Genomic DNA, 7,936 nt, shown 5'->3' with positions numbered 1-7,936 from the left:
TGGTGATAGGTATTATATCTTCACATATTTGGCAAAACATTCTTTTTCTTCTTCTTGTTTGGGTGCTCTTCCTCAGTTGTTGTCATGGAGACTAGTGGCCAGAAACTAGAGCTAGGTTCATGGTGGTCAGGAAATAAGGAAGAGAAACTTATATTTACATAATGCGTTCATTATGTGCCAGGAACTGGACTAAGTATCCTGTGCTCACAAAATCTATGTCCTTGATTTTATTTAATCCACACAATTCTGGAAGGTTGGTGCTAGTATCTCCAGTTTATAGATGAGGAAACTAAGGCTCAATTAAGTCAAAATGTTTGCCAAAGGTCTCAGAGGTAAGAAGTGGCAGAGATGGGTTTGAAACCTGGATCTGCCTGGCCCCCAAGCTTGAATTTTTCCCATTATACCACACTACTCCAAATCCATTCAGGGTAGGTCTTGATTGAGAAGAATGGGAATCAAGATTCCTGTCACAGAAGGTGTGAGCCTTTAGAACACTAGAAGCTTTGGGGTCTTTGGATGAGTGACTGCTGACGCGAATAACAAGGAACATATCCAATTCTATGCATGCCCCGATAGGTCGTAATCTCTAGCAGGTAACCTTTCAAAAAGACGCCCTGCGCCAAGATGGCCTCCCAAATAGCCCTTGTTAAAGATGGCGCCTCCGTCGGACGTCCCTCCCTTGATCTCAGCTGGATTCTCTTCTTTCCTGGAATGAAAAAATGCCCTGCCAAGCACTAAGATATTAGTACAAGTTAGTCGTCTCTTTCCCGTTCTTGTCGAAAGTGGCCAGGCCTTCAGCTACATTCTCCAGGACACGGCTTCTTTCCGGCTTCACAAATAACCCACAAACACCAACTCTCATCAAGATGGAGTGAGCGGAAGTGGGGCAGTTCTGAGTTTGAGTTTATGGGCGGGGCGAGAGCGACACTTCCGCCCCTCACCAACATGGCCGCGGGCTGGAAGTGCGCATGAGCAGCTGTCTATGGAGATACCTAGGCCGGGAGAGGGAGAACACAGTTGGAGAAAATCGGCAGCTGAGACGGCCTTGGCCGGTGAGTGTAGGACCGGGCAGAAGTCTGGAAACTGGGTGGACTGGCAAGGCAGGGCAGCTTTGATTTTGTTTCCGTTTTTCAAGTTAGAGAACACTGCTGGGGAGGAAGCCTTTGTTTTGGGGGAGGGGGCTGTGCTGGTTCTTTATCTCATACCCTGCTTTGTGGGCCAAACTCTCTCCCTTCCCCAGAGCGCGAGCGTCCCAGCCCTCCTGCGCTGTCCAGCTGCGCGCCGCAGCCGCCGGCACCGGGCGCTTGAGCTCCCTAGTCCCCGAGGCCCTTTCCTGCCTCCTCCGCGGAGCAGCTGGGGCGCGGGGCTAAGACTGCGGGGCTGCGGGGTCACGGCGCAGGCTCCCGGGCTCGCGCCTGGCGGGCGCTCAGCTCCGTAAGCGCCTTCTGGTTGGTGAGCCTGCAGGGAGACGCCTCATTCTAAGGCAAGGTCTAGGTGCCTGACTTCTTTCGGGAGTTGATTTTTTTTCCCTTTGTGTCCAGACTTAGCAAGGGCTCTTACTGGGCCCTTCTGGCCTGAGCGTGCACACCACAACGTCCCATCCCTGTTTCCGTGTCACCGATCCCTAATGCCTAGGAAATGCTTCCGGATGTCCAACTAAGATTTGAATAAGTACCCTGACCCCGTTGCTGGGTGTCCTCAGAGACTGCCCCGGCTGACAGCTGTGGCCAATAGAGATGCCTCCTGTGCCGGGCCCTCTATTTCATTGCCTTCCCCTGCAGTCAGCGCGGCAAGCTTCGCAGGGCATTTCCTCTTCAGGTTTGAAGATGGAAATGTAGGTGGTCCCAAAACACTAGTGCTACTTCCCCTTATCGACTGGGATCTCCTTGCAGCGTTACTTCGTCTGTACGGTTTCACTTTCAGTTCCTTTTTCAACATTTTCCTCGGACGCGGTCTTTCCGAGGCTTATCCATTGAAAATTTTCCTTGGATAGGAAAGGTTTGGAGGACCTTATGGGTAGAGAATTTCCAAAAATCTTGCCCCTTTTGTGTTGGGATTATCTTATTGCTTTGTACTGTGTAGCTGTTTCTTTCTGGAGGCATGTCTGCCCAGCTCTTTGTTTTTCCTGCCCTCTGGCTGGGTGTCAGGGTCCTAAGGCAGAGCTTGTAGGTGGATTCTTCCCCCTTTGTCTCTTCTTCAGAACCCTGTTTTTTTTTTTTTTACCCCTTCTTGCTCAGGCTTAGTTGATTTGGAGTTGTCATAGCAACATTTTAGCAACAGTGTTGTTCTGCAGGAAGGCTTGATGAATAAAATAGAGAATGCTTGAAGAGGATCCACTTGGGCTTTAGGGTTTCTAACAGATTATATAAATCTGGATACCCCAAAACAAGAGTCCTGTCAGTAGAATGGGGCCCAAATGCCAAGTCTAGTCTTTGTGGTCAGGGATATTCTTCCAGTGGTAGTGGGCTTCAGATTTCCTCTTCCTAGGTTTGAAAACAGAAATGTCTTGATGGACAACATGTGGCTGAGAAACTGGAAGAAGCATCAGTGTCCATGACACTGTATTTTTTGATGGTGGGGCCAATACATGGCCCTTCCTGATTCCCATGAAGCTGCCATCATGGCAGGTCATAATAGCTTTAATGATCCATTTAGAGATGTGTTGTTGGCTGGGTGCGGTGGCTCATGCCTGTAATCCAAGCACTTTGGGAGGCCGAGGCAGGCGGATCACCTGAGGTCAGGAGTTCCAGACCAGCCTGGCCAATATGGTAAAACCCCATCTCTACTGAAAATACAAAAATTAGCTGGGCGTGGTGGTGGGCACCTATAATCCCAGCTATTCAGGAGGCTGAGGCAGGAGAATCACTTGAACCCAGGAGATGGAGGTTGTAAGCCGAGATTGTGCCACTGCACTCCAGCCTGGGTGACAGAGCAAGATTCTGTCTCAGAAAAAAAAAAAAAAAAAAGAAAGAAATGTGTTGTTTCGGCCAGGTGCAGTGGCTCACACCTGTAATCCCAGCACTTTGGGAGGCTGCCGAGGTGGACAGATCATGCTCTCAGGAGTTCGAGACCAGCCGGGCCAACATGGTGAAACCCCGTCTCTACTAAAAATACAAAAATTAGCCAGGCGTGGTGGTGTGCACCTGTAATCCCAGCTACTCCGGAGGCTGAGGCAGGAGAATCACTTGAACCTGGGAGGCAGAGGTTGCAGTGAGCTGAGATCGCGCCACTGCACTCCAGCCTGGGTGACAGAGAGAGACTCTGTCTCAAAAAAAAAAAAAAAAAAAAAGTGTTGTTTCTGTCTTCCAGTATAATTATCCACTCTCCACCAGGAGTTGGAGTGATAATGGAGGGATGGGGAACACTATTTGTAGCCTTGCTTTTTCAATCACTGTAGGCCAGTCCTCAACATCAGTATGGTGGAGGCTGATTGTCCCCTGCAGATGACTGGGTTATTTTCCTGGCTATGTGTTCATGGAACCTAAGTTCTAGAACCAGAGATACTGTTCTGTTTCCTAAACTCATTGCAAACTTCATGATTTCTACCAGGACTTAGCACTCAGGCCTGTGAATCAGGAGATACAAAGACCTCCAAAAAAGGACCAGTTCCTCGGATGTGCCCCCTCACAGAGAGATGAAGGGGTGAGTGAAGAAGAGGTAGGGTCTGGGATGAAAGATGGGTGGCCTGGAAGAATGCAAAATGACCAAGAGCACTGCCTCTGGAGTCAGGCAGACCTGGATTCAGGTTCTACTCTATCACTTACTGTGTGATTTGGTTTCTCTATCTATAAAATGGAAGTAGTGCTATCTATCTCGTGGTGCTGTTTTTAGTACTAAATAAGATTACATGTAATGTACTTAGCTTAGTGCTTATGTACATAGTAAACAGTAAACACTAGTTGTTATTCTAACCTAACCCAGCTTCTGTTGGGAATGCCAATGAGTTTGCAGCCATATGTTACTGGGCCAGTGAGCTTCTCATTGACTTCTTCTCATACTCTTCCTTTTGTCCTTTCACCACAAACAGGCAGCAGAAAACAGCTGAAACGGAAGAGGGGACAGTGCAGATTCAGGAAGGTGAGTGCTAGAAACAGAACCAAGACTAAGAACCCATCATGGCCTCCCTTCCTTCCCCACCAGACCATCTCCTGTGCATCCTCCTCCTTCCGTGACATGCAAATGGAACGGGGGTAGAAAGGCAGTTAACTCACAGACTTTTCCTTTGTTCTTTTAATTCAGGTGCAGTGGCTACTGGGGAAGACCCAACCAGTGTGGCTATTGCCAGCATCCAGTCAGCTGCCACCTTCCCTGACCCCAACGTCAAGTACGTCTTCCGAACTGAGAATGGGGGCCAGGTAAGGGAGGGGGCCAGGTGGCTGCAGGTGTTATCTGGGGTTGGGATTGAGGGAGGTAATTGAACATGTCTTGGGGAGACCTGGCTTGGAGGATGAGTTGAAAGAGTGGACTGTTGCAGGGGAGGGAGGTGCTAATACTGGAGTAGAGACTGGTGTGAGGTTAGATGTATGCTGAAACCTCTGTGTGGGGAAAGAAGGGAGAATGGCTGAATCCATGTCTCTGAAGGACTTTGTTTTGGGGCCCTATCCAAGGGAAGCTTTATGAGGGGCCCTAGGATTCCCAACACTTAATCTTTTCTTCTCTCTTCACTCCCTCTGCCTTCCTCTACACTTCTAGGTGATGTACAGGGTGATCCAGGTGTCTGAGGGGCAGCTGGATGGCCAAACTGAGGGAACTGGCGCCATCAGTGGCTACCCTGCCACTCAATCCATGACCCAGGTACAGGGTATGGGCTGGGGAGGTCACTAGAGTTCTGAGAAGTAAGATGAAGAAGGGAATCAGTAGGATGGGGGTGAAGCTAGGAACAGTGAGGCATCTAAGGCTGCCTTGTCCCAAAGCACTAGGCTCTCCTTTTCTGGATGTTTCTCTCTCTCTCTCTCTCTCTCTCCACCCTACCTACCACCCCAACGGATAGAAGCTGCAGAGTGGTGTAGTGGGAAGAAGTTTTTGACTGTTACCAGAATCAGTTTTCTTGCTCCCCTTCCCAGGCGGTGATCCAGGGTGCTTTCACCAGTGATGATGCAGTTGACACGGAGGGGACAGCTGCTGAGACGCACTATACTTACTTCCCCAGCACGGCAGTGGGAGATGGGGCAGGGGGTACCACATCGGGGAGTACAGCTGCTGTTGTTACTACCCAGGGCTCAGAGGCACTGCTGGGGCAGGCGACCCCTCCTGGCACTGGTGAGATATTGCATGAGGATGCTGGCTGAAAGGGCTAGAATAGGCTGTGGGACATGACTGGTAGGCAGTGAGCCTTCACTCATGACTCTTAGTGATCATTAAGACCTGGACAGGCAGTGAGTCTGGGGCTGCTCTTCTATTAGCATGTTCTTTTTAGAGGAGGGGACCAGGGTCTTCACCTCAGGGCTTGGTGAGGTTCCTACCCATGTCCTGACAGAACCTACCCTGCATCTTCACAGGTCAATTCTTTGTGATGATGTCACCACAAGAAGTACTGCAGGGAGGAAGCCAGCGCTCAATTGCCCCTAGGACTCACCCTTATTCCCCGTGAGTGACCCTTGTTTCTTCTCAGATTCCGTAAGTGGTTTTTTTTTTTTTTTTTTTTTTTTGAGACAGAGTCTTGCTCTGTCACCCAGGCTGGAGTGCAGTGGCATGATCTCAGCTCACTGCAACCTCTGCTTCCAGGGTTCAAGCGTTTCTCATGCCTCAGCCTCCTGAGTAGCTGGAACTACAGACATGTACCACCACCCCTGGCTAATTTTTGTATCTTTAGTAGAGACAGGGTTTCACCATGTTGGCCAGGCTGGTCTCGAACTCCTGACCTCAAGTGATCCGCCTGCCTCGGCCTCCCAAAGTGCTGGGATTACAGGTGTGAGACACCACACCTAGCTACCATAAGTGGTCCTAATACCTGCTAAATCTTGTATAATTCCTTAACCCCAAACTTCAATCATGTATTTTGTCTTCTTACTCTGGCCACCCTGGGCTCTGTTGTCAGGAAGTCAGAAGCTCCCCGGACGACTCGGGATGAGAAACGCAGGGCTCAGCATAATGAAGGTAGGTATGATCTGGGTGGAGCTAGAAGCTGTCTGGTGTGATCTCAGCAGTGATGTCTGAGGGGAGGAGGGATTAGGTAATTTTACCCTGGGACTTGTGGCGAGTTTTCACTGAGTCACCTTGTCCTCCACTTTGCCCCACAGTGGAGCGTCGCCGCCGAGACAAGATCAACAACTGGATCGTGCAGCTCTCCAAGATAATCCCAGACTGCTCTATGGAGAGCACCAAGTCTGGCCAGGTCATGGAAAGACCCTGGTAGTGGGCAGGATGCCTGAATTCTGCCTCCTGGTATTGTTTCCAGAAATGGTAGAGAGAGGGGCACACATGACAGTAGTCTTATCTCTCCCTGAGGTTCCTGTATCCCTGGGAGATATTATACCACCTTCCTTAGATGAAAATGAGGTCCAAAGTGTGAACCTACTTTTGGAAAGCAAGCTGGGTATCTGAAATCCTAGTTCTCATTTTGTTGACCTTATCTTGCAGAGTAAAGGTGGGATTCTATCCAAAGCTTGTGATTATATCCAGGAGCTTCGGCAGAGTAACCACCGCTTGTCTGAAGAACTGCAGGGACTTGACCAACTGCAGCTGGACAATGACGTGCTTCGACAACAGGTCAGACTCCTACCCCCAGTGCAGCCCTTCTCAGTTCTGCTAGCCACTGACCCAGTTTGACACCCTCTACTTTGTTCTCCATGGAGAAGGCTTCATCTTTTCCCCCTCACCAGTGGATGTCTGAATACATTCAGGGGCTTGGAAGTGCCAGCTTTACTACCCATTCCCTTTACTGCCTCCTTCCCATGTCAGGTGGAAGATCTTAAAAACAAGAATCTGCTGCTTCGAGCTCAGTTGCGGCACCACGGATTAGAGGTCGTCATCAAGAATGACAGCAACTAACTATGGGGATTCAGGGGCTTTGGGCCCAAGAACTGCAGATAGCCCAGGAGCAACAGCCTAATCCCGTGCCCCTTTCCTTCACTGCCCCACTTCTGGCATGGGACAGGGGGAAGTTCAGAAGGTGTGTCCTTGAACTGAGGCCCTGTGATATGGCGGCCTGCAGTGGTGTGAAACACACAATGTGGACGTGCACTGACAGCCTTGCCCACCCCCACCATGCAGCCCCTGGGCCCTTGTGCTCCTCTCGCACAATGCATGTGCTGTCTCCATGCTGGATACTGGACACACTAAACTCTGGGGCTTGTCCTGTGCTTGCTTAGAGTGCCCAGCAGAGGTTTGCTGACAGGTGATGCTCTGGCTTGCCCCAGGACTCTGGCACTTCCATTGGTTCTTCCTTTCCCTGGAGCTGAGGTTTAGATGTGCAACCTGTGGCTCAGGGGAGCAAGCTTACACAAGAAGTGAGGGAAGGATGTTTAGCAGTGGCTGGTGCCCATGAAGAGGAGATTGGCCAGTGAGAAGCTGAGGCCTATGCAGACATCTCTGGAGCCAGAGAGAACAACAGGCAGGGGCCCACTTGGGGCCTTCCCCCTTGTGGGGGTCGTTTTTTTTTTTTCTTTTCTTTTTTTTTTTTTTTTTTTTTTTTTTTTAAGATAAAATTGTTCAAAGCCACAGTTGTCTGTTTTTCTTCCTTTTGTGGGCCACGGGCTGGAAGGGAGGGGCACATTGCTCTTCGACCAGTAAGGGCTGTGCCAAGTTCAGGGTGGGGTGCTGCTCCTGCATTTATTACCCGGAGTCCTGGTTCCTGGGCCAGACCGGTGTGTCGTTTTTGGCCCAAGCTAGAGAATGTTAAGGGCTTCTGCGGTGGGTTGGTGCTAGAGGCGCCGCGAACAGGTGCTGCGGGGGCGGCGCGGGAGGCGGTGCCCTTGCTTCCGGATCCGGTCTCAGC

General features: G+C 50.4%; 1 protein-coding gene across 4 annotated transcripts, besides 7 other annotated features; it reads left to right on the top strand.

The window, feature by feature from the left end:
- Positions 83-963: an enhancer, noted in NCBI's record as "H3K27ac hESC enhancer chr1:161015737-161016617 (GRCh37/hg19 assembly coordinates)". NCBI's record gives its function as "activates a minimal SCP1, AML or CMV promoter by ChIP-STARR-seq in primed H9 embryonic stem cells {active_cell/tissue: H9 hESC(primed)}" and the evidence as "EXISTENCE:reporter gene assay evidence [ECO:0000049][PMID:30033119]".
- Positions 83-1,844: a biological region, named in NCBI's record as "BRD4-independent group 4 enhancer GRCh37_chr1:161015335-161016534".
- Positions 166-1,365: an enhancer, noted in NCBI's record as "BRD4-independent group 4 enhancer chr1:161015335-161016534 (GRCh37/hg19 assembly coordinates)". NCBI's record gives its function as "activates an origin of replication core promoter dependent on BRD2, P300/CBP, MED14 and CDK7 cofactors, and independent of BRD4, by STARR-seq in HCT116 cells {active_cell/tissue: HCT116}" and the evidence as "EXISTENCE:reporter gene assay evidence [ECO:0000049][PMID:35650434]".
- Positions 574-1,053: an enhancer, noted in NCBI's record as "active region_1973". NCBI's record gives its function as "activates an Ori minimal core promoter by ATAC-STARR-seq in GM12878 lymphoblastoid cells {active_cell/tissue: GM12878}" and the evidence as "EXISTENCE:reporter gene assay evidence [ECO:0000049][PMID:35858748]".
- USF1 (upstream transcription factor 1) lies at positions 933-7,659 on the top strand. Of its 4 annotated transcripts, none has more exons than NM_207005.3 (11): positions 933-1,052; positions 3,550-3,642; positions 4,028-4,077; positions 4,240-4,324; positions 4,693-4,794; positions 5,064-5,259; positions 5,499-5,586; positions 6,038-6,096; positions 6,240-6,334; positions 6,580-6,708; positions 6,901-7,659. In NM_207005.3, exons 5-11 carry the CDS (start codon positions 4,696-4,698, stop codon positions 6,988-6,990), a joined length of 756 nt encoding a protein of 251 aa, NP_996888.1. In that variant the 5' UTR covers positions 933-1,052; positions 3,550-3,642; positions 4,028-4,077; positions 4,240-4,324; positions 4,693-4,695; the 3' UTR covers positions 6,991-7,659. The 4 variants fall into 4 exon arrangements, with proteins under 4 accessions (NP_996888.1, NP_009053.1, NP_001263302.1 ...); NM_007122.5 differs by having other exon boundaries at positions 4,240-4,355; NM_001276373.2 differs by lacking the exon at positions 933-1,052 and adding an exon at positions 1,926-1,998 and having other exon boundaries at positions 4,240-4,355.
- Positions 964-1,844: an enhancer, noted in NCBI's record as "H3K27ac hESC enhancer chr1:161014856-161015736 (GRCh37/hg19 assembly coordinates)". NCBI's record gives its function as "activates a minimal SCP1, AML or CMV promoter by ChIP-STARR-seq in naive and primed H9 embryonic stem cells {active_cell/tissue: H9 hESC(naive and primed)}" and the evidence as "EXISTENCE:reporter gene assay evidence [ECO:0000049][PMID:30033119]".
- Positions 1,904-2,133: an enhancer, noted in NCBI's record as "active region_1972". NCBI's record gives its function as "activates an Ori minimal core promoter by ATAC-STARR-seq in GM12878 lymphoblastoid cells {active_cell/tissue: GM12878}" and the evidence as "EXISTENCE:reporter gene assay evidence [ECO:0000049][PMID:35858748]".
- Positions 4,994-5,153: an enhancer, noted in NCBI's record as "active region_1971". NCBI's record gives its function as "activates an Ori minimal core promoter by ATAC-STARR-seq in GM12878 lymphoblastoid cells {active_cell/tissue: GM12878}" and the evidence as "EXISTENCE:reporter gene assay evidence [ECO:0000049][PMID:35858748]".

Source organism: Homo sapiens, chromosome 1 (assembly GCF_000001405.40).
Source record: "Homo sapiens chromosome 1, GRCh38.p14 Primary Assembly".
In the NCBI taxonomy this organism is placed as follows: domain Eukaryota; kingdom Metazoa; phylum Chordata; class Mammalia; order Primates; family Hominidae; genus Homo; species Homo sapiens.
This window is presented reverse-complemented; position numbering and strand designations above follow the sequence as displayed.

Coding starts and splice junctions, on each gene's coding strand:
- USF1 (NM_007122.5), top strand. Junction 4,078..4,239: donor GACAGTGCAGATTCAGGAAG/GTGAGTGCTAGA, acceptor CTTTTAATTCAG/GTGCAGTGGCTACTGGGGAA. Junction 6,709..6,900: donor ATGACGTGCTTCGACAACAG/GTCAGACTCCTA, acceptor TTCCCATGTCAG/GTGGAAGATCTTAAAAACAA.